This window comes from Homo sapiens, chromosome 16 (assembly GCF_000001405.40).
Source record: "Homo sapiens chromosome 16, GRCh38.p14 Primary Assembly".
NCBI lineage: Eukaryota > Metazoa > Chordata > Mammalia > Primates > Hominidae > Homo > Homo sapiens.
The window spans coordinates 18,317,919-18,341,784 of record NC_000016.10 but is presented as its reverse complement, the minus strand read 5'-3'; the positions used below and the strand labels follow the sequence as shown (position 1 = coordinate 18,341,784).

At 50.6% G+C, this 23,866-nt stretch overlaps 1 protein-coding gene and 2 pseudogenes across 2 annotated transcripts in view; all 3 read left to right on the top strand.

Annotated features, from left to right (window-relative positions):
• Positions 1-7,385, top strand: part of PKD1P4 (polycystin 1, transient receptor potential channel interacting pseudogene 4) — a 17,884-nt pseudogene extending 10,499 nt beyond the window's left edge.
• PKD1P4-NPIPA8 (PKD1P4-NPIPA8 readthrough) overlaps positions 1-23,866 on the top strand; it is a 34,527-nt pseudogene extending 10,661 nt beyond the window's left edge. The window contains exons 20-35 of the transcript NR_146336.1: positions 19-163; positions 916-1,536; positions 1,828-1,984; positions 2,165-2,417; positions 2,542-2,737; positions 4,229-4,399; positions 4,486-4,629; positions 4,724-4,934; positions 5,025-5,151; positions 13,543-13,671; positions 17,287-17,386; positions 17,550-17,694; positions 20,661-20,768; positions 21,785-21,845; positions 21,955-21,990; positions 23,350-23,866. The product of NR_146336.1 is annotated as a PKD1P4-NPIPA8 readthrough (transcript). The remainder of the gene's footprint in view (positions 1-18; positions 164-915; positions 1,537-1,827; positions 1,985-2,164; positions 2,418-2,541; positions 2,738-4,228; positions 4,400-4,485; positions 4,630-4,723; positions 4,935-5,024; positions 5,152-13,542; positions 13,672-17,286; positions 17,387-17,549; positions 17,695-20,660; positions 20,769-21,784; positions 21,846-21,954; positions 21,991-23,349) is intronic.
• Positions 5,049-23,866, top strand: NPIPA8 (nuclear pore complex interacting protein family member A8). The gene is made up of 10 exons (NM_001282511.3): positions 5,049-5,151; positions 6,818-7,074; positions 9,054-9,185; positions 13,543-13,671; positions 17,287-17,386; positions 17,550-17,694; positions 20,661-20,768; positions 21,785-21,845; positions 21,955-21,990; positions 23,350-23,866. Exons 3-10 carry the CDS (start codon positions 9,123-9,125, stop codon positions 23,815-23,817), a joined length of 1,110 nt encoding a protein of 369 aa, NP_001269440.1. The 5' UTR covers positions 5,049-5,151; positions 6,818-7,074; positions 9,054-9,122; the 3' UTR covers positions 23,818-23,866.

Below are 23,866 nucleotides of genomic sequence, written 5' to 3'. Positions count from 1 at the left end.
ACTGCTGGCTCCACACAGGGGCCCAGCAGGGAGCTCGTATGCCGCTCGTGCCTGAAGCAGACGCTGCACAAGCTGGAGGCCATGATGCGCATCCTGCAGGCAGAGACCACCGCGGGCACCGTGACGCCCACCGCCATCGGAGACAGCATCCTCAACATCACAGGTGCCGCGGCCCGTGCCCCACGCCACCCGCCCGCCCCACGTGGCCCGTCCGCCCCATGCCGCCCTTTCCTCTGCCTCCCTCCTCCCCACAACCGCCTCGCCTTTGCCCCATCCCATCTTCGTCCCCCTCCCCTCCCCCCAATTCCCATCCTCATCCCCCTCCCCCAATTCCCATCCTCATCCCGCTCCCCCAATTCCCATCCTCATCCCGCTCCCCCAATTCCCATCCTCATCCCCCTCCCCCAATTCCCATCCTTATCCCCCTCCCCCAATTCCCATTCTCCTCCCCCTCCCCCTTCCCTATTACCATCCCTTTTCTCCATCTCTCTCCCCTTTTCTCCATTTCCCCCCCGATCCTCCCCGTCCTTTTGTCCATTCCCCTCATCTTTCTTATCCCCCTTATCCTCCTTCCCCTCCCTTATCCCCCTTCCCCTCCCTTATCCCCCTTATCCCCTTCCCCTCCCTTTCACCCTGCTCCTCTTCTTCTCCCCTTTCTCTTTTCTCTACCCTTTTCCTTCCTTTTTCCTCCCTCTCCCCATCATCCCCCTCATCTTCGTCCTCATCCCCATCCCCTTCCCCCTCCCCCTCCACCACTCTCTCTCCAGCTTCCCTCTTCCTTCTGCCTGCACCTCGCTCTCTGCCCCCTCAGGTTCCCCCTTTCTCCCAGCCCCCACCCTCCGGCTCCCCCTTTTTGCCTGCCCCCACCCTCCCTCTGCCTCCCTGTCTCTGCACTGACCTCACGCCTGTCTGCAGGAGACCTCATCCACCTGGCCAGCTCAGACGTGCGGGCACCGCAGCGCTCAGAGCTGGGAGCCGAGTCACCATTGCGGATGGTGGCGTCCCAGGCCTACAACCTGACCTCTGCCCTCATGCGCATCCTCACGCGCTCCCGCGTGCTCAACGAGGAGCCCGTGACGCTGGCGGGCGAGGAGATCATGGCCCAGGGCAAGCGCTCGGACCCGCGGAGCCTGCTGTGCTATGGCGGCGCCCCAGGGCCTGGCTGCCACCTCTCCATCCCCTAGGCTTTCAGCAGGGCCCCCGCCAACCTCAGTGACGTGGTGCAGCTCGTCTTTCTGGTGGACTCCAATCCCTTTCTCTTTGGCTATATCAGCAACTACACCGTCTCCACCAAGGTGGCCTCGATGGCGTTCCAGACACAGGCCGGCGCCCAGATCCCCATCGAGCGGCTGGCCTCAGAGCGCGCCATCACCGTGAAGGTGCCCAACAACTCGGACTGGGCTGCCCGGGGCCACCGCAGCTCCGCCAACTCCGTTGTGGTCCAGCCCCAGGCCTCCGTCGGTGCTGTGGTCACCCTGGACAGCAGCAGCCCTGTGGCCGTGCTGCATCTGCAGCTCAACTATACGCTGCTGGACGGTGTGTGCAGCGGGTGGGGCACACGCGGCCCCCTGGCCTTGTTCTTGGGGGGAAGGCGTTTCTCGTAGGGCTTCCATGGGTGTCTCTGGTGAAATTTGCTGTTTCATGGGCTGTTGGGGGCCTGGCCGGAGAGGAGCTGGGGGCCACGGAGAAGCAGGTGCCAGCTCTGGTGCAGAGGCTCCTATGGCCTTTCAGGCCCGTGGCAGAGGGTGGGCTCAGGAGGGCCATCGTGGGTGTCCCCCGGGTGGTTGAGCTTCCCGGCAGGCGTGTGACCTGCGCGTTCTGCCCCAGGCCGCTACCTGTCTGAGGAACCCGAGCCCTACCTGGCAGTCTACCTGCACTCGGAGCCCCGGCCCAATGAGCGCAACTGCTCGGCTAGCAGGAGGATCCGCCCAGAGTCCCTCCAGGGTGCCGACCACCGGCCCTACACCTTCTTCATTTCCCCGGGGTGAGCTCTGCGGGCCGGCCTGGCAGGGCAGGGCAGGGCATCATGGGTCAGCATTGCCCGGGTTACGGGCCCCGTGGGGACGGCAGGCAGCGAGGGGACTGGACCGGGTATGGGCTCTGGGACTCCGACATCCAACCTGGCGGAGCCTGGGCTCACGTCCACTGCCCCTTCCCTTCCCAGGACCAGAGACCCAGTGGGGAGTTACCGTCTGAACCTCTCCAGCCACTTCCGCTGGTCGGCGCTGGAGGTGTCCGTGGGCTTGTACACGTCCCTGTGCCAGTACTTCAGCGAGGAGGATGTGGTGTGGCGGACAGAGGGGCTGCTGCCCCTGGAGGAGACCTCGCCCCGCCAGGCCGTCTGCCTCACCCGCCACCTCACCGCCTTCGGCGCCAGCCTCTTCATGCCCCCAAGCCATGTACGCTTTGTGTTTCCTGTGAGTGACCCTGTGCTCCTGGGAGCCTCTGCAGAGTCGAGGAGGGCCTGGGTGGGCTCGGCTCTATCCTGAGAAGGCACAGCTTGCACGTGACCTCCTGGGCCCGGCGGCTGTGTCTTCACAGGAGCCGACAGCGGATGTAAACTACATCGTCATGCTGACATGTGCTGTGTGCCTGGTGACCTACATGGTCATGGCCGCCATCCTGCACAAGCTGGACCAGTTGGATGCCAGCCGGGGCTGCGCCATCCCCTTCTGTGGGCAGCGGGGCCGCTTCAAGTACGAGATCCTCGTCAAGACAGGCTGGGGCCGGGGCTCAGGTGAGGGGCGCGGCGGGGTGGCAGGGCCTCCCCTGCTCTCACTGGCTGTGCTGGTTGCACCCTCTGGGAGTGAGTCTCGTCGCAGGCGTCAGAACAAGGCAGTTTTTGCAGTGCTGTGTGAAGGGCTCGTGTGTTCATCCTGGGAATGACCTCGTGAGCACTCACTGTCCCTGAGGACTAGGACAGCTCCTAGCTGGAAGTAGGTGCCAGTCAGTCAGGGTGGGCAGCCCACGTTCTGCACAGTAGCGTGGCCCCACAAGTGACATGAGCATCGCTACCACTGTGGGAGACCATGCATCCACCCGCGATCCTGACTGCATAGCTCGTCTCTCAGACGGAGGTGCCAGCACCCTCCCCGTGGCTGTTTCTTCAATACCTCCATTTTCCTTTATTGGAATTGCCCTTCTGGCATTCCCTTTTTGTTTTCGTTTTTCTTTTTTTGGAGACGGAGTCTCACTCTGTTGCCCAGGCTGGAGTGCAATGGCGTGATCTTGGCTCACAGCAACTTCCAGCTCCTGGGTTTAAGCGATTCCCCTTAAGCGATTCTCCTGAGTAGCTGGGAGTACAGGTGCACGCCACCACACCCAGTTAATTTTTCACCATGTCAGCCAGGCGAACTCCTGACCTCAGGTGATCCGCCTGCCTCGGCCTGCCAGAGTGCTGGGATGACAGGTGTGAGCCACCACACCTGGCTGTGTTCCCATTTTTTATTTCCGTGTTGCTTTCATCTTCATTTCCCAGTTCTTTTGATTACCTACTTTTAAAAACTGTCGGCCGGGCGTGGTGGCTCACACCTGTAATCCGAGCACTTTGGGAGGCCGAGGCAGGCAAATCACGGGGTCAGGAGACCGAGACCATCCTGGCTAACGGTGAAACCCTGTCTCTACTAAAAAATACAAAAAAATTAGCCCGGCGTGGTGGCAGGCACCTGTAGTCCCAGCTCCTCGGGAGACTGAGGCAGGAGAATGGCGTGAGCCCGGGAGGCGGAGCTTGCAGTGAGCTGAGATTGCGCCACTGCACTCCAGCCTGGGTGACACAGCAAGACTCCATCTCAAAAAAAAAAAGAAAAAAAATACTGTCACCTGGGTCTGTCACTGGGAGAGGAGGTGACACAGCTTCACGCTTCGCAGTCTGTGCATGAACTGAGGGACGGGTGTGTGGTGCGGGTCACTGGTTGTGGCGTGACTGAGGCGTGGACAGGTGTGCAGCGCGGGTCACTGGTTGTGGTGTGGACTGAGGCGTGTGCAGCCATGTTTGCATGTCACAAGTTACAGTTCTTTCCGTGTAACTTAATCATGTCCTTGAGGTCCTGCTGTTTATTGGACAAATTGCAGTAACCGCAGCTCCTCGTGTATGGCAGAGCCGTGCAAAGCCGGGACTGCCTGTGTGGCTCCTTGAGTGCGCGGAGGCCAAAGCTGAGATGACTTGCCTGGGATGCCACACGTGTTGGGCAGCAGACCGAGCCTCCCACCCCTCCCTCTTGCCCTCCAGGTACCACGGCCCACGTGGGCATCATGCTGTATGGGGTGGACAGCCGGAGCGGCCACCGGCACCTGGACGGCGACAGAGCCTTCCACCGCAACAGTCTGGACATCTTCCGGATCGCCACCCCGCACAGCCTGGGTAGCGTGTGGAAGATCCGAGTGTGGCACGACAACAAAGGTCTGTGCGGACCCTGCCAAGCTCTGCCCCTCTGCCCCCGCATTGGGGCGCCCTGCGAGCCTGACCTCCCTCCCGCGCCTCTGCAGGGCTCAGCCCTGCCTGGTTCCTGCAGCACATCATCGTCAGGGACCTGCAGACGGCACGCAGCACCTTCTTCCTGGTCAATGACTGGCTTTCGGTGGAGACGGAGGCCAACGGGGGCCTGGTGGAGAAGGAGGTGCTGGCTGCGAGTAAGGCCTCGTTCCATGTTCCCACTCCGTGGGAGGTTGGGCAGGGTGGTCCTGCCCCGTGGCCTCCTGCAGTGCGGCCCTCCCTGCCTTCTAGGTCACGCAGCCCTGTTGCGCTTCCGGCGCCTGCTGGTGGCTGAGCTGCAGCGTGGCTTCTTTGACAAGCACATCTGGCTCTCCATATGGGACCGGCCACCTCGTAGCTGTTTCACTCGCATCCAGAGGGCCACCTGCTGCGTTCTCCTCATCTGCCTCTTCCTGGGCGCCAACGCCGTGTGGTACGGGGCTGTTGGTGACTCTGCCTACAGGTGGGTGCCGTAGGGGTCGGGACAGCCTCTTCCTGCCCAGCCCTTCCTGCCCCTCAGCCTCACCTGTGTGGCCTCCTCTCCTCCACACAGCACGGGGCATGTGTCCAGGCTGAGCCCGCTGAGCGTCGACACAGTCGCTGTTGGCCTGGTGTCCAGCGTGGTTGTCTATCCCGTCTACCTGGCCATCCTCTTTCTCTTCCGGATGTCCCGGAGCAAGGTGGGCTGGGGCTGGGGACCCGGGAGTACTGGGAATGGAGCCTGGGCCTCGGCACCATGCCCAGGGCCGCCACTTTCCAGTGCTGCAGCCAGAGGGAAAGGCGTCCACCAAAGGCTGCTCGGGAAGGGTCAACACACTTGAGCAGCCTTAGCTAGACTGACCAGGGAGAAAGAGAGAAGACTCAGAAGCCAGAATCGTGAAAGAACGAGGGCACTTCGCTAAGCAGACGCCACGGACAACTGCACAGCAGCACGCCAGATAACTCAGAAGAAGCAAGCACGCGGCTGTGCACGCTTCCGAAATGCACTCCAGAAGAAAATCTCAGTACATCTATAGCAAGTGAAGAGGCCGAGTTAGTCCCTTAGAAACCTCCCAGTGGCCGGGCCGGGTGTGGTGGCTCACGCCTGTAATCCCAACACTTCAGGAGGCCGAGGTGGGCGGATCTGAGTCCAGGAGTTTGAGACCAGCCTGGGCAACATAGCAAGACCCCATCTATATAAAACATTAAAAAGGGCCAGGCACGGTGGCTCACGCCTGTAATCCCAACACTTTGGGAGGCCGAGGCGGGCAGATCAGTTGAGGTCAGGAGTTCGAGACCAGCCTGGCCAACACAATGAAACCCTGTCTCTACTACAAATACAAAAACTTAGCTGGGCATGGTGGCGGGCGCCTGTAGTCCCAGCTACTCGAGAGGCTGAGGCAGGAGAATGGCATGAACCCAGGAGGCGGAGCTTGCAGTGAGCCGAGATTGCGCCACTGCACTCCATCCTGGGCAATGGAGCAAGACTCCATCTCCAAAAAAAAGAAAAAAAAAATCCCACAAAGAAAAGCTTGGGCTCAGAGCCTTCACGATAGAATTTTTCTAAGCAGTTAAGGAAGAATTAACACCAATCCTTCACAGACTCTTTCCAAGAATACAGCAGGTGGGAACTCTTCCCATTCATACGGAAACGGGAGGCCGCACCCCTTAGGAATGCACACGTGGGGTCCTCAAGAGGTTACATGCAAACTAACCCCAGCAGCACACAGAGAAGGCGCATAAGCCGCGACCAGGAGGGGTTGCTCCCGAGTCCGTGGCAGGAACCAGAGGCCACATGTGGCTGCTCGTATTAAAGTTAATTAAAATGGAACGATGGCCGGGCGTGGTGGCTCACACCTGTAATCCCAGCACTTTGGGAGGCGGAGGCGGGCAGATCACTTGAGGTCAGGAGTTCCAAGACCAGCCTGGCCAACACAGTGAAACCCCGTCTCTACTAAAAATACAAAAAATTAGCTGGGCATCGTGGCAGGCACCTGTAATCCCAGCTACTCAGGAGGCTGAGCCAGGACAATCGCCTGAACGCGGGAGGTGGAGGTTGCAGTGAGCTGAGATTGCGCCAGTGCACTCCTGCCTGGGTGACAGAGCGAGACTCCATCTTAAAAAAAAAAAAAAAATGAAATTCAAAACTCTGTTCCTTAGCTGCACCAGTCTGCTGTCAAGTGTTCAGTGGCACATGTCGCGAGGGGCTGCCATCACGGACGGTGCAGATGTCCCATATATCCAGCATTCTAGGACATTCTGTTAGATGGCACCGGGCTCTGTCCTGTCTGCTGAGGAGGTGGCTTCTCATCCCTGTCCTGAGCAGGTCTGAGCTGCCGCCCGCTGACCACTGCCGTCGTCCTGCAGGTGGCTGGGAGCCTGAGCCCCACACCTGCCGGGCAGTAGGTGCTGGACATCGACAGCTGCCTGGACTCGTCCGTGCTGGACAGCTCCTTCCTCACGTTCTCAGGCCTCCACGCTGAGGTGAGGGCTCTACTGGGGGTCCTGGGCTGGGCTGGGGGTCCTGCCGCCTTGGCGCAGCTTGGACTCCAGACACTGTGCACCTCTCAGCAGGCCTTTGCTGGACAGGTGAAGAGTGACTTGTTTCTGGATGATTCTAAGAGGTGGGTTCCCTAGAGAAACCTCGAGCCCTGGTGCAGGTCACTGTGTCTGGAGTACCGGGGGTGTGCGGGCTGCGTGTCCTTGCTGGGTGTCTGTGGCTCCATGTGGTCACACCACGTGGGAGCAGGTTTGCTCGGAAGCCCAGGGTGTCCGTGCGTGACTGGACGGGGGTGGGCTGTGTGTGTGACACATCCCCTGGTACCTTGCTGACCCGCGCCACCTGCAGTCTGGTGTGCTGGCCCTCCAGCGAGGGAACGCCCAGTTGGCCGGACCTGCTCAGTGACCCGTCCATTGTGGGTAGCAATCTGCGGCACAACCCCCACTTACTGGGTCTCTCCTTTTACAACCAACACAACCGAAATCTAGGGCTTCTTTTTTTTTTTTTTTTTTTTTGAGACAGAGTCTCATTCCATTCTGTCACCCAGGCTGGAGTGCAATGGTACGATCTCGGCTCACTGCAACCTCCGCCTCCCGGGTTCAAGGGATTGTCCTGCCTCAGCCTCCTGAGTAGCTGGGATTACAGGCGTGTGCCACCATGCCTGGCTAATTTTTGTATTTTTGGTAGAGACGGGGTTTCAGCATGTTGGTGAGGCTGGTCTCGAACTCCTAACCTCGTGATCCGCCTGCCTCAGCCTCCCAAAGTGCTGGGATTACAGGCGTGAGCCACCATGCCCAGCCAAATCTAGGGCTGGAACATGGCTGCAGCATATAAATAGAATTGAATTCCATAGTTTTGTTAATCCTGTTTTTTGTTTGTTTGTAGTTGTTGCTGTTTTTGAGACAGAGTCTCGCTCTGTCGTCTAGGCTGGAGTGCAGTGGTGTAATCTCGGCTCACTGCAGACTCTGCCTCCCGGGTTCAAACTGTTCTCCTGCCTCAGCCTCCCAAGTAGGTGGGACTACAGGTGCCCACCACCACACCCGGCTAATTTTTGTATTTTATTAGAGACAGGGTTTCACCATATTGGCCAGGCTGGTCTGGAACTCCTGACCTTGTGATCTGCCCACCTCGGCCTCCCAAAGTGCTGGGATTACAGGCGTGAGCCACCACCCCCAGCCCCTGTTTTGTTTTTGTTTTGCTTGTTTCTTAGGGTTGTTTTTCTATTTATGGTAAAGGCATTGGCTTTCCATTTGTAGCATCAATAGAATATTTCCTGTTTACAATAACCTTATGTCATAGTAAATGGTAAAGGGATTTAAAGCAGTGGTTTTCAGCTGCCAGAGGCCTGAGAGAGTTTGGGCACACTCTGTGTGATCGGGCAGAAGGCCTGTGGGAAGTTTAGCTGAGGACAGGGCCAGGAAAGGTGATGGACAGTGGGGGTCTGTCCTGGTCACCAGGCCCCTGGGTCCTGCCCGCCTGCTTGGAGCTCCCCACCCATCACACATGATGCGGCCAAGCCCTCTGGGTATTGTGGGCAAATACCTTAGGAGAGAAGCTGATGAACTTTGTTTCTTGAAATGCACAGATTCCTTGGACGTCCCTGAGAGCTCAGTCATGAAAGTCAGCTTGGTTTTCTCCCCCTCATTTGGGTTCAGAATTTAAAGTCCACACACACGGGCAGTAAGATGACATAGATAAGGACATCATCACTCAGTTTCGGATGTTAAAATGTCTAGGTGGGTTAGGGGTGATTTGAGATCACACAACCTTGTGCCACAAAGAGGAATTCCCAGGCCAGAGGGAGACATTTTATTGCCATGTTATGATCTCATCATTGAGTTGAAAGGCAATCTTGTTTCATTTTGGATTCTTTCTTATGTTTATGTCTTATAAGGGCACTTTGAATTTCCAAGCAAATAATAATTTTGAATTAGCTTTTAATCATTGACTTCTAGCACAGTTTTATGATCAGAAACATGCTGTGTGATTTGATTGCTCTCAAATATATTGAGATTTGCTGGAACAAAATAAGTCAGGTTAATTTTTGTAAATGTACCATGCATGCTTAAAATGAATGTATGTACATTTGTTCCTGAGATACAGGTTGATGGACGGATGGCTACATGGATGTGATGGAGATGGTTTACTATCGGGACCTTCCGCATCCTGCTGATGTTTTGTTGCTTAGGATATGAATGGCTGAGCGGAGGCTGTACAACCTGGCACTCTGCTTGGGTATGAGGTTCTTCCTGCCATCCTGCCATCATTTGTTTTTTATGTTTTGTCGCCAAAAGTGACCTTGAGGAACCCTGGGAGCTCAGGAAGGAAGGAGCGCCCAGAAGCAGGGACAGGGAGCTGGTTGGGGAGGACCAGAAGTCAGGTTTGTGAAGGTTCCAGAGAGGACCTGGCCTTGGGAGGAGCGTGGGGGACTGAGATGGGGGAGGGGTCATTGGGATGATGCGGGCGCTACTTGGAATGTCCATTGTGAGGCACCACCGGGGTCATCAGGGATTGGTGGAGAGAGAGTCTAAAGCCCCAGGGTTGCTAAGGGAGGGCCCAGACCGAAGAAGGTTTGGTGGAAAGCAGAACCTTTGTCTCCCTCTAATTGCTCCTAAGCCTCACGCTCCCTTGCCCCGCCTGTCCTGTTGCTTCCCTGATCTTCTCCGTGACCTGTAGCTAAACCTTCCACCAGCGCTTGAGAACTTAATTTGAACCGGATCCTTTCCCAGACCCCTTTCTTCTTCTCCTCCTCCTCCTCCCCAACAGCCCCCTTCTCCTCCTTTCCCTTCCCTTACTTCCCCCCTTCCCCTCCCCCTCCCCTCCCCCTCCCCTCCCCCTCCCCAACTCAGATCCGGCCCGGTCCCCGTCCCCTTCCCTCCCCCCTGCCCTAAGCCACCTCCACCTCTGTCCTGGCTGCCTCAGGGCGCCCTGAAAGGACCAGGACATGCGGGTGCGGTGGCTGCTCTTTTGGCTCCTCTTTTGGCTCCTGCTGGGATTTATCAGCCATCAGTCCACCTGTGTGAGTAGATGGGTGCTGTGGCTGCTCTTTTGGCTCCTGCTGGGATTTATCAGCCATCAGTCCACCTGTGTGAGTAGACGCTGGACCCGCGGGGTTTCTTCCTTTTTACTGGGCTGTGTCACGCGGCATGAAATTACACAGCTCAGGCCTGTAATCCCAGCACTTTAGGGGGCTGAGGTGGGCAGATCACTTGAGTCCAGGAGTTGAAGACTAGCCAGGGCATCATAGCGAAACCCCATCTCTACAAAAAATTCCAAAAAAGATTAGTCGGGCCTGGTGGTGCGTACCTGTTATCCCAGTTACTGGAGAGGCTGAGGTGGGAGGATCGCTTGGGCCCAGGAGCTGGACGTTGCAGTGAGCCGAGATGGCGCTGTTGCACTCTTGTCTCCAACAGACAAAACGGACCAAAACAAAGTGAAATGTCATTTGATTTGTGTCATCTGGTTTGATGACTTTTTTTTGTTTGTTTGTTTTTTAGACAGAGTCTCACTCTGTTGCCCAGGCTGGAGTGCAGTGGCAAGATCTCGGCTCACTGCAACCTCCGCTTCCGGGGTTCAAGCAATTGTCCTGCCTCAGCCTCCTGAGTAGCTCAGATTACCACGCCTGGCTAATGTTTGTATTTTTAGTAGACCACCACGCCTGGCTACTTTTTGTATTTTTAGTAGAGACTGGGTTTCACCATGTTCGCCAGGATAGTCTCCATGTCTTGACCTCGTGATCTGCCTGCCTCGGCCTCCCAGTGCTGGGATTACAGGCGTGAGCCACCGCGCCTGGCCAAAATATATAACCTTAAGTGTAAGTTTACTAACTTTGGAAAGTACATACACCAGCATAAACCAACCCCCTTTCAAGATCTACATTATTTTATTTATTTATTTATTTTTTTGAGACAGTTTCTCCCTTGTTGCTGAGGCTGGAGTGCAATGGGGCAATATCAGCTCACCGCAACCTCTGCTTCCCAGGTTCGAGCGATTCTCCTGCCTCAGCCTCCCGAGTGGCTGGGATTACAGACATGTGCCACCACTCCCAGCTAATTTTGTATTTTTAGTAGAGATAGGGTTTCTCCATGTTGGTCAGGCTGGTTTTGAACTCCCGACCTCAGGTGATCCGCCTGCCTCGGCCTCCCAAAGTGTTGGGATTACAGGCATGAACCACCGTGCCCAGCCAAGATCTACACTATTATGTCACCCCAGAAAGTGAACTCTCACTCTTCCCAGCCAGTCTCTTTCTTATCATAGGTTAGCTTGCTTATTCTGGAATTTCGCGTATACAGATGCATGCCATGCCATAGGTACTCTTTTGTGTCTGCTTTATTCTGCTCAACACCATGTTTCTGAAATCATTACCATTGTTGTACGGTTCTCTAACTCCATCATTTCCATTTCAGACTCAGCATATGCTGAGTTCAACCTGTTGAAGGGCTATCTCTGTTTAATTCACCATCTTGAAAGAAACATTTAAAATTGAGATGTTTTCAAGAATATATAGTTAAATCCTGAGGAATCGATGTAGAAATGTTATCAGAAGCTGTCTGAACTTACTCAGGGGAAGTCTTCGTCTTCACTCACATAAGAGTCTAATGGAATTAATATCAACAATCTTAGAGAAATCCCACGCTATTCATGCCATTTTCATGATCTCCACCTTGGTAATTTTTTTTTTTTTTTTTTTGAGACAGAGTCTCGCTCTGTCACCCAGGCTGAAGTGCAGTGGTGCGATCTTGGCTCACTGCAACCTCTACCTCCCAGGTTCAAGTGATTCTTCTGCCTCAGCCTCCCAAGTAGCTGGAACTATAGGCGCGTGCCACCATGCCCTGCTAATTTTTTGTATTTTTAGTAGAGATGGGTTTCACCGTGTTAGCTAGGATGGTCTCAATCTCCTGATCTCGCGGTCCACCCACCTCGGCTTCCCAAAGTGCTGGGATTGCAGGCGTGAGCCACCACGCCCAGCCCACCTTGTTACTTTTTAAGAACTAAAATTCGATACTTATTTGTGAATGAAGTAATCTCTTCATTGTATTTTTTTTTTTTTTACTTATGCTGAGCTTTAAATGACAAAGATTCATATAATCCAAGAGAGAAGTATTATTTAGAGGGATTCTTTTACCATGTGATATATAATAAATGCATCCAATATTATACATCAATTTAAAAAACAAGTAAATAACTAAAGAAAAGATAACTACTGGCCAGGTGCAGTGGCTCACACCTGTATTGCCAGCACTTTGGGAGGCCGAGGCAGGTGGATCATGAGGTCAGGAGTTGGAGACCAGCCTGGCCAAGATGGTGAAACCCTGTTTCTACTAAAAAGACAAAAATTAGCCGAGCGTGGTGGCAGGCGCCTGTAATCCCAGTTACTCAGTAGCTGAGGCAGGAGAATCGCTTGAACCCGGGAGGCGGAGGTTGCAGTGAGCTGAGATCATGCCACTGCAATCTAGCCTGGGTGACAGAGCAAGACTTTGTCTCAAAACAAAAATAAAAGATAAGATAATTACTTTATACTTAGCTTGTCTTACCCATGAGTGACGGGCTGCATGTGGCCCAGGACAGTTTTGAATGCAGTTCAACACAAATTTGTAAACTTTCTTAAAACATTAGGAGATTTTGGCCAGGTACAGTGGCTCATGCCTGTAATCCCAGCACTTTGGGAGGCTGAGGCGGGCAGATTACCTGAGGTCAGGAGTTCGAGACCACCCTGGCCAACATGGCAAAACCCCATCTCCACAAAAAATACAAAAATTTGCTGAGTGCACTGTCAGGCACCTGTACTCCCAGCTACTCAGGAGGCTGAGGCAGGAGAATCACTTGAACCTGAGAGGCAGAGGTTGCAGTGAGCCGAGAGCACACCACTGCACTCCAGCCTGGGTGACAGAGTGAGACCCCATCTCAAAAACAAACAACAAACAAAAACAAAAAAAATGGCCGGGCACGGTGGCTCACACCTGTAATCCCAGCACTTTGGGAGGCCGAGGCAGGCAGATCGCCTGTCAGGAGTTCAAGGCCAGACTGGCCAACATGGTGAAACCTCATCTCTACTAAAAATACAAAAATTAGTCGGGCATGGTGGCAGAGACCTGTAATCTCAGCTGCTCGGGAGGCTGAGGCAGGAGAATGGCTTGAGCCCAGGAGCTGGAGGTTGCAGTGAGCCGAGATTGCACCACTGCACTCCAGCCTGGGCGACTGAGTGGAGCGGAACTCTGTCTCAAAAAAAAAAAAAAAAATTTTTTTTTTTAGATCATCAGCTATTGTTAGTGTTAGTGTATGTTATGTGTGGCTCAAGACAACTTTGCTTCTTTTAATATAGGCAGGGAAGTCAAAAGATTGGATATCCCTGCTTTATACCAAGAAAGACAACACCCCACATTTGCAATGCCTAAAAACACTACCAGCCATCTGAAAAACATGAGACTTCTCTAACTTCTGTTCTTTTTTGTAGCAGTGGAATCCCACGGTGATATCTGAGGGATGTGGTTACCTTTTGGAGGAGGTTGACGGTTTCTAAGGATGATTCTTTCTGAGTGAAATATTGTCAGTGTCATTGACCTTTTCATTATTTCAACTATTATTATTCCAGGTTATCAATACTCTGGCTGACCATCGTCATCGTGGGACTGACTTTGGTGGAAGTCCTTGGTTACTTATCATTACTGTGTTTCTGAGAAGTTATAAATTTGCCATCTCCCTCTGCACAAGTTACCTTTGTGTGAGTATACTAACTTTCTGTAGAGGTATACTTGTAATCACAAATAAGAATAAATTATATGAAACAATTCACGTTTCTGGACTTCATTATGAATATGTGGTTTTACCCAAAAAATCAGGGAAATGATTTATTAGCATAAGAATTATGAAAATATCTGCCATTTACATTATGAAAATTAAATAGGTCGGTGTTTAATAGAATGTCAACAGAGCTTTTGGTCAAAAATAAGTTTTTTTAACCTTTGTGCTATTTGTCACAAATGGAGTATGAGATTTCGTCACTTAAATGGGAAAGTCTTTCTAAACTCTTCTGCTTTATAGTTCTATCGTATGGGTGGAAGGAAAGCTTCCAATCTCCTCTCTGAAGATTCACTGCAGAAATGAGCTGACAACAGACAGCTTAACAGGAAAAGAAAAACATAGAACAGGCATAAACATGGGAACCAGCTGAAAAATGAGACTGCTAGAAGGGCTGGATGGTTGATGCTTAAAGAGCACCCTCTTCTGAGGGTAGAGGGAGATAGATGGAGATGTAGGCCATTTAGAGGGGCAGCAAATGATTTTTAGGGGAAATGAAAGAGCCCAAGGAACAAACAGTTGGCCTGAGACAAAGTTCCTCTGAGGTCATAGGGACGAGGTGACAAACTGCCGGAAGGTGAAGGGCAGAACTGCACTGCGTCTCATGATGCAGAGAAAGCCCCAGAGAATCTCTTAGAACTGCCCTCCAAGAGAATCAATGAAAAGTGTGTCTGGGCAGGGTAATTTTGAATGACATCATTCAAAGTGCATGTTCCCACTTGCAACTGGAATGAGATCAGTATGTCAAAAGTCTATACTTGGTAAGAATTTGGCTGCTAAGTTGTGCCATAATTTGTCTTTTGAGCCTTTTATCCTTTGCGTAAGTTGAGCTCTACATTTTGTCTTGCCATTCATGACAATAAAAATGTGGTTGTGTGGGGGCTGAACCTCCTTCTGAACAATGATCCAAGATAAAAGTACTAAACCACAATGCTTTTTTATATTCAAGGGAAGAGGAAGTATGTTTCAGTTTTACCGCCTAGATAATTACACGTCATTTGGCACTGCCTTTCAAGATATGTAGAAAACAGAAAATATATGAGTTATGAAGATATCTAGGCACATTTAACATTCTCTATGCCACTTAGTCCTGAACAGAGAATTTTCGGTATAAATTGGAGGAAGCTTTTTTTTTTTTCTTTTCTCACCCCCAAGAGGAGTCTCCCTCTGTTGCCCAGGCTGGAGTATAATGGTGTGATCTCGGCTCACTGCAACCTCCACCTCCTGGCTTCAAGTGATTCCCCTGCCTCAGCCTCTCAAGTAGCTGGGATTACAGGTGCCCACCACCATGCCCAGCTAATTTGTGTATTTTTAGTAGAGTCGGGGTTTTACCATGTTGGCCAGGCTAGTCTCAAAACCCGACCTCAAATGATCCACCCGCCTCAGCCTCCCAAAGTGCTGGGATTACAAGCGTGAGTCACCACGTGAGCCAGGGGAAGTTTTTAAATTTACCACTTTTTAACAATTCCATTTAGGAAAGTTCAGTTGAGCTGTTGGACTTGGACAACTTTGCACCTCTCATCTTTGTCCTTGTCATCTAGTCATCTATACCATTACCTCCTAAGCAGGGACATCATGGGTGCCATGAAGCATTCATGTGTGATGGCATTTCTTTGCTTCTCATTTCTTCATGTGTTTGACATTTCTCCTAGCTCCAAACTGGGCCAGCTACCTTTCCTATGAAATCTAGCAGTAGCTGTGGGATAGACGTGGTTGCTCTTTTCATCTTTTTAGATTACCCATTGCTTCTCTTGAAATCCTAGTACATGATTTTTTTTTAATCCTATGTGCAGAAATCAGGAAAAAACAAGTTCTACAAAGAATTTGAAAGATATTATTTCAGGCCAGGTGTGGTGGCTCATGCCTGTAATCCCAGCACTTTGGGAGGCTGAGGCAGGTGGATCACTTGAGGTCAGGAGTTCAAGACCAGATGGGCCAACATAGTGAAACCCCATCTCTACTAAAAAGACAAAAATTAGCCAGGCATGGTAGCAGGCACCTGTAATCCCAGCTACTTGGGAGGCCGAGGCACAAGAATCGCTTGAATCTGGGAGGTGGAGGTTGCCGTGAGCCAAGGTAGTGCCACTGCACTTCAGCATGGTTGAGTGACACTCCGTCTCAAGAAAAAAGTCATTTCAATGACTACCTCAGGAGATTCATAGGTATCTGACCCACATCTGAGATGGGATTTGCATTGCATTTTAGCTATGATGAGAACAAATATTTAATATCTTCGAAGATTAAAAGCATACTGTGATAATATGGAAATCTTGGTGGGAATTCAGTCATTAGTGAGAATGTTTTGCGTTAAGTTCAAACCAGCCTCAACGAAGCTGATGTGAGGGAAGGGAAAGTGAACTCTGAGTAGAGCAGGGACAGAAGAAAGATGCTCCAGTGCAGATCAGGAAGGAGCAGGGGGTGAAATGTTACAAATTCTAGAACTCAGAGAGCTGAAGGTAATTAATTACTTCCTTTTCAAGTTGTGAAACATGTTAACCTGTGGTAAAATACTTACAAGATGATAATTACCATCTAACCGTGTTGAAGTGTACAGTTCAGTTGTGTGAAGTATATTCATGTCATTTTTTTTTTTTTTTTTTTTTGAGACAGAGTCTCACTCTGTCACCAGGCTGGAGTGCAGTGGTGGGATCTTGGCTCACTGCACCCTCTGCCTCCTGGGTTCAAGCAGTTCTCCTGCCTCAGCCTCCCGAGTAGCTGGGACTACAGGCGTGGGCCACCATGCTCAGCTAATTTTTGTATTTTTAGTAGAGACGGGGTTTCACCATGTTGCCCAGGATGATCTCCATCTCTTGACCTTGTGATTCACCCGCCTCGGCCTCCCAAAGTGCTGGGATTACAGGCGTGAGCTACAGCACCTGGCCTATTTTTTTTTTTTTTTTTTGAGACAGAGTTTGAATTTTGTTGCCCAGGTTGGAGTGCAATGGCACAATCTCAGCTCACCACAACCTTTTCCTGCTGGATTCAAGTGATTCTCCTGCCTCAGCCTCGCGACTAGCTGGGATTACAGGCATGCACCACCATGCCTGGCTAATTTTGAATTTTTAGCAGAGACAGCGTTTCTCCATGTTGGTGAGGCTGGTCTCAAACTCCCGACCTCAGGTTATCCGCCTGCCTCGGCCTCCCAAAGTACTGGGATTACAGGAGTGAGCCACCCTGCCAGCCTCATGTCATTCTTTGTGTGTGTGTGTGTGTGTGTGTGTGTGTGTGTGTGTGTGACAGAGTCTCATTCTGTCGCTCAGGCTGGAGTGCAGTGGTGTGATCTCGGCTCACTGCAAACTCCGCCTCCCAGCTTCAAACGGTTCTCTGCCTCAGCCTCCCGAGTAGCTCGGATTACAGGCGCCCACTGCCATGCCCGGCTAATTTTTGTATTTTTAGTAGAGACGGGGTTTCACCATCTTGGCCAGGCTGGTCTTCAACTCCTGACCCCGTGATCCACCTGCCTCGGCCTCCCAAAGTACTGGGATTATACGCATGAGCCACCGTGCCCAGCCGTCATTCTTATATTATTATTTCCTAGGTGTCTTTCCTGAAGACTATCTTCCCATCTCAAAATGGACATGATGGATCCACGGATGTACAGCAGAGAGCCAGGAGGTCCAACCGCCGTAGACAGGAAGGTATGGCTCTGTTGGAGTCCCCATAGTGTGGAAATGAGTTTGCCCTGGAAAGGGAAAGAACAGCTTCTTGCCCTCAGGTTTCTCACCTTCTCCTCTCCTCACTCTCACCAAGGGCTGAAGTCCATTTGTATGCACACAAAGAAAAGAGTTTCTTCCTTTCCAGGAATTAAAATTGTCCTGGAAGACATCTTTACTTTATGGAGACAGGTGGAAACCAAAGTTCGAGCTAAAATCCGTAAGATGAAGGTGACAACAAAAGTCAACCGTCATGACAAAATCAATGGAAAGAGGAAGACCGCCAAAGAACAGTAAGATGTGCCTTGACACAAATACTGTTGTATGAACCATGTGCCAATCAAAGTAGACAACTGTAAAGTCCTTGAGAATATTTTCTACAATATTTGTGGCAAATTCAGTGGGTTCAAAATTGAGTTTGTCCTTTCTGCTTCATTAGTTTAAGCTGTATAATTCCTTTCCCTTCCTACATTCTTGTTTGTCATTTTTTCAGGGGAAGAGGAGTTGCTAGTACTGGCATTGGTTTTCCTTTCTCTTTTTTTTTTTTTTTTTTTTTTTTTTTTTCCTGAGATGGGGCTTTGCTCTTGTTGCCCAGGCTGCAGTTCAATGGCACAATCTCAACTCACTGCCTTTTGGGTTCAAGCAATTCTCCTGCCTCAGCCTCCCAAGTAGCTGGGATTACAGGTGCCCACCACCATGCCCAGCTAATTTTTGTATTTTTACTAGATATGGGGTTTCACCATGTTGTCCAGGCTGATCTCGAACTTCTGACCTCAGGTAATCCACCCGCCTCAGCCTCCCAAAGTGCTGGGATTAGAGGCGTGAGCCACCACACCCAGCACCCAGCCTTTTTTTTTTTTTTTTTAATTTTGAGATAGAGTCTCGCTCTGTCGCCCAGGCTGGAGTGCTGTGGTGCAATCTTGGCTCACTGCAACCTCTGCCTCCCAGTTTGAAGCAATTCTGCCTCAGCTTCCCGAGTAGCTTGGATTACAGGTGTGTGCCGCCACATTCGGCCAATTTTTTTTTTTTTTTTTTTTTTTTGAGACGGAGTCTCACTCTGTCACCCAGGCTAGAGTGCGGTGGCATGATCTTGGCTCACTGCAACTTCCGCCTCCCAGGTTCAAACGATTCTTATCCCTCAGCCTCTTGAGTAGCTGGGACTACAGGCATATGCCACCATGCCCAGATAATTTTTGTATTTTTAGTAGAGGCGGGGTTTCACCATATTGGCCAAGCTGGTCTAGAACTCCTGACATCATGATCCGCACACCTCGGCCTCCCAGTGTGCTGGGATTACAGGCGTGAGCCACCGTGCCCAGCCCAATTTTTGTATTTTTAGTAGAGACGGGTTCACCATGTTGGCCAGGCTAGTCTTGAACTCCTGACCTCAGGTGATCTGCCTACCTCAGCCTCCCAGTGTGAGCCACCGCACCCAGCCTGGATTGTTGAATTCAATGCTTGGGTCACCTCCAGATTCATTTTCACAGTCTTTCATGTTTTGGTCATACTACATTGTATTTTGCTGCCATATGACTGATCTTTTTTTGTTAAATGTGAGATACTTTTTAAAAAATATTTAACAATGCATTGAGGCCTAGTAGCATGTTATCTTGCTGCAGAAGAGATGGGAGTCTACTTCTGGGGGATGGTCAGGGGTCCTCCGTACAGGCTGCAATTGAGGTCGTCTCTGCAGGCTCAGTCCCTACAAAGGCCAGGGTATTTCCTGTCCACCTCTATTCTGATGCATGACTCTTCTGGGTCTCAACCAGAGCCAGTGGACTTCAGTATGGATCGCTTTCATTGGCAGACCCTCAATCCACTTGTTTTCCATCTAACCCCACGCATGTGTGCAAAAGCTGCTGTGCTTCTTTGCATCTCAGTAGTTCCTTCTGGAATTCAGCAATGAAACTCAGGGAAATGGGTTCCAAATGCGAGGCTGACTTTCGTCCTGGGTTTCCTTCTTCTCCATCTTCACCTCATGTCTGTTTACTGCCATGTTAGCAATTTGATGTATTCAATCATGGTTTTTATATTCTGTTTGGTGTCCCCCATTGTTCTCATCGGAGATCAGAAGCTTCAGATGCACTTATGTCAACTCAAGAGTAGAATGCTTCCTTAGCTTCCCTCCAGAGTCAGGTTTTGTGTTTCTAGTTCCCAAGTGCACAGCAGGAGTAGTGATGTCCTCACTGGCTTCTCATTTGCATTAAACTGTGAGCTTCTTTAGCGTGGGGACAGGACCCTGCTCCCATTGCATTGTCAGCACCTCACCACACACTCCTTGTTTGAGGCCACTCCAGACAGCATGTGCTGAAGGATGCCCTGTGGTCAGAAACAAGTTCATTAACTTTCTCTTTGAAGTGTTTTCGTCCCTGTTTCCTAGCGTTCTGGGAATTTTACACATCCTTCCTATAAAACCAAGTATCAGGTGAGATCCTTAGGATCAGGACCATGAATCAAGTGGTGTGAGGGCAACACAGCAAACTTACCCTTTTGAGGCCGTTTCCTTTTTCTGCCCTCAATCTCTGTGAATTGAACCTTGTTAAAGTCAGTCAACACCAGGGTGGATGGTTTGCCGTTGTCACCTATTTTCAGGACATAACACCCTGACTTAGGAGCCATTCCGATCATTTCTAATTCAATAGATGCGCCCAGCATTCAGATTGCCTTTTCAGGATCTTTAAAGTCGATGACAAGAGTTCCAGTCCTGAATCATGGCAAAGTGCAGTAGTGAACTGCGGGGTTAATGACACCATATTCTGGAAGGATCTCTCTATGGCTGATGGTCTCAGTTCCGGCATCAGCCTCTGACTGAGAATCAGGTCTCACACAGGAGGAGTCAGATGAGGAGCAATCCTCTGCTTCCGATGGAGTTAGTTGTGATGAATTGGTGAGGTCTGGTTTTTCACACTGAACTAAAATGAGCTTTCGCTGTGTCAAGCACAAGACTGACCCCAGAGACGCACATAGTGCACCTCATAGAAGCTTTTAATAGTCTTTATATTTACTAAAGAATAGGACTAACTATGGAACTATGAAGATGAGCTGGAAATGACAGGTGACTTGCCAGCAGGCCAGAGTGTGATTTTTTTTATCCCTCAATGGGAGGTGTCCATTCTCCCTTCAGTTGTGAGAATCAGTTGGTTCATTTGTGGGAAGGTTGCAGGGGGGATCTTTGAATCACAGCCTTCAGATGCCAGAAGGGCAGAGGGAATCCCACACGTGCTGGTGGATCATGTGTGTGCATTTCTCTCCCTTCTAGTCTGAGGAAACTAAGCATGAAAGAACGTGAGCACAGAGAAGAGGAGAGGCAGGTGTCAGAGGCAGAGGAAAATGGGAAATTGGATATGAAAGAAATACACACCTACATGTGAGTTCAGAAACTGAACCCCACCCTCTTGGGAAACGCCCATTGGAGTGTTGTTTTTAACCTTTGTACAATGTTTAGACCCAGTAAATGCAGAAATAGAAACAAATGGTCAGAAGACATATCGTGAGAGAGAGAGAGTTCACAAAACAGAAAACAAAGTACCTTAATATTTACCAGTGACCAAAAGATGTGAAGTAGCAAAACGGCTCCTGACCCCATTGCCAGCTAGACTGTGTGGAAACTCGGTTCATACCAGCCATTCTAGGGGTGGGGTGAGTTGTTGTCATCCTTAGGAAAGTGTGTTGTTGTAGGATCAACCACATCCTTCAAAAGGACTATGCCTGTTTATAAGCCCAGCTGTTTCTGCCCTGTGAAACACGGTAAAGATATTAATACAAAGAGAATACAGCTTTATGATAAAAGATGCTCAATGAAGGATGAATTAGGGATATACTGAGAATGGGGAAGGAAACTATCATCTCAGAAGTCAGCAGGCAGTAAGCAAGAGGAGGAATCAATATAGCAACAGTTTGGATCAGACTGTACAGTTTTTTTTGTTTTTGTTTTTGTTTTTGTTTTTCTGAGATGGAGTCTCGCTGTGTCACCCAGGCTGGAGTGCAATGACGTGATCTTGGCTCACTGCAACCTCCGCCTCCCAGGTTCAAGTGATTCCCCTGCCTCAGCCTCCCGAGTAGCTGGGATTACAGGCGCCTGCCACCACCCCCGCCTAATTTTTTGTATTTTTAGTAGAGACGGGGTTTCACCGTATTAGCCAGGATGGTCTCAATCTCCTGACCTCGTGATCCATCCGCCTCGCCCTCCCAGAGTGCTGGGATTACAGGCGTCAGCCACCGTGACCGGCTCAGACTGTACTCTTCTAGCCATCTGAAATACGTTTTCTAGGTAGAGATAGATTGTGTAAGGGTACAGTTGTGAGGATAACAGAAACATGGCAGATTATTTAAAATCATCCTGAAAGTGGTGCTTTATCTGATGAAAGTGATTGTAATCCATAGGGAAATGTTTCAACGTGCGCAAGCGTTGCGGCGGCGGGCAGAGGACTACTACAGATGCAAAGTAAGGAGCTTCCTCCCCGCAGTTGCAGGATAGTTCAGTGCTGATGCAGATGATGCCACGGCCCTTAGACTCTCTCAACATTCAATTTCTCATGTGTTGGCTTTTTCAGATCACCCCTTCTGCAAGAAAGCCTCTTTGCAACCGGGTAAGTTTGCTTGTTTTCCTTGCTTTTGGACATAGTCTGCCAGGTCAGGACATGGATACATTTTTCTCCCTACGGCTCTGTGCTCAAGCCCTGCAGAGGGAGATGGCAGAGAGGAAGGCTGCCTACAAGCATCACAGTCCCATCCCTGTTGGTAACTGTGTTGCGCAAAAACACCTTCATCCCCACCCAGTGGGGCCCCCATCTAATATTCTAAGTGTCAGAGGTTCCGTATTTGTAATAGCAAATGGGCCCTGACTGTAAATTAGTGAAGAGTGAATGTAACTTATTACCCACAGGGACAATTCCAAATGAGGGCCTTAAATGATGCTCAGCTAAGCTGGTTCTTGTGTGGCCTCTGTACCTTCAAAAGCTGCCGAGTCCTATGATTACACGCGATGGGACTTGTACACTTGAAGTGAAACACAGTTTTAAAACTTGCTTTGTTTAGAATTCCCACCTCATTTTTCCATGGACAAAAGTATTCTTTATGTCCTAGTGCACTTACAATTTGGTATTACCTGGGAGTGAAAAGAAATATTACAGCCATGCCTAACTGACTTCTTGAGGTAAGATTGTTCTGTCAGAAAACCCTCTCCCAGTTCCCCTGCAGCTCTTCAGGAATCCACATCTCTCCAGAGCTCTTTGTTCTCATGGGTGGCACCTCCAGAGTGAAGAAGATCCTTTGTCAAGAAGGGAAACAGAGGGGAAATGAGAGGGTCCTGCAGGCAGAGCTGGAATCAACTTCCACTCTGCCTCTTGCAAGCTGTGTGACCCTGGGCACAATTTCTCCTTCCTCTGGAAACCTCTGTTTTCTTAGATTTGGAGCAGGGTGGTCACACTGACCTTGCAGAGTTCTGAGAATCAGAGACAGAACATAAAAGGCCTGGAAAACATTCTCCAAAAAGAAGCTGCAACATGTGTGGACAATGGGCTTTTCATGCCTCTCTTACTGTCTCTTACTGTCTATTGACCTGGTGCAAGAAACATGCTCTGGTGATGGCTGTGAGGGAGGAATGAGGATAGACATAGACACTCCTGTGTCTCAAACATGCTTCTTTATTACTCTGTTATGACTCTGTCTTCCCTGGGGCAGGACCCCAGCCTGCCTACATTTGCAGACAGACACAGTGGCATGTGGAGACAACAGTGTGTCCCAATGACTTTTCTTTACCCCCTAGCTGTCGGCAGTACTCAGTGGAAGGGTGATATTATGACACTGACACTGCTATTTTGAAACCTGGAGGATGGAAAGGTGCAAAAATCTATCACCAGCAACAGAAGGTGCAGACTGTGTTGGTGGCGGTAATTTTGTCCATCAAATGAATATGTGTGAAAACATTCCCTCCTTTGGCCCTACAGGTCAGAATGGCGGCAGTGGAGCATCGTCATTCTTCAGGATTGCCCTACTGGCCCTACCTCACAGCTGAAACTTTAAAAAACAGGATGGGCCACCAGCCACCTCCTCCAACTCAACAACATTCTATAATTGATAACTCCCTGAGCCTCAAGACACCTTCCGAGTGTGTGCTCTATCCCCTTCCACCCTCAGCGGATGATAATCTCAAGACACCTCCCGAGTGTCTGCTCACTCCCCTTCCACCCTCAGCTCTACCCTCAGCGGATGATAATCTCAAGACACCTGCCGAGTGCCTGCTCTATCCCCTTCCACCCTCAGCGGATGATAATCTCAAGACACCTCCCGAGTGTCTGCTCACTCCCCTTCCACCCTCAGCTCCACCCTCAGCGGATGATAATCTCAAGACACCTCCTGAGTGTGTCTGCTCACTCCCCTTCCACCCTCAGCGGATGATAATCTCAAGAAACTAAGGAAGAATAAATAAATAATATAAAAATAAAATGAATACTGCAGTCCTTA

Coding starts and splice junctions, on each gene's coding strand:
- NPIPA8 (NM_001282511.3), top strand. CDS start 9,123: ATGTTTTGTTGCTTAGGATATGAATGGCTGAGCGGAGGCTGTACAACC. Junction 21,846..21,954: donor AGGACTACTACAGATGCAAA/GTAAGGAGCTTC, acceptor TGGCTTTTTCAG/ATCACCCCTTCTGCAAGAAA. Junction 21,991..23,349: donor GAAAGCCTCTTTGCAACCGG/GTAAGTTTGCTT, acceptor TTGGCCCTACAG/GTCAGAATGGCGGCAGTGGA.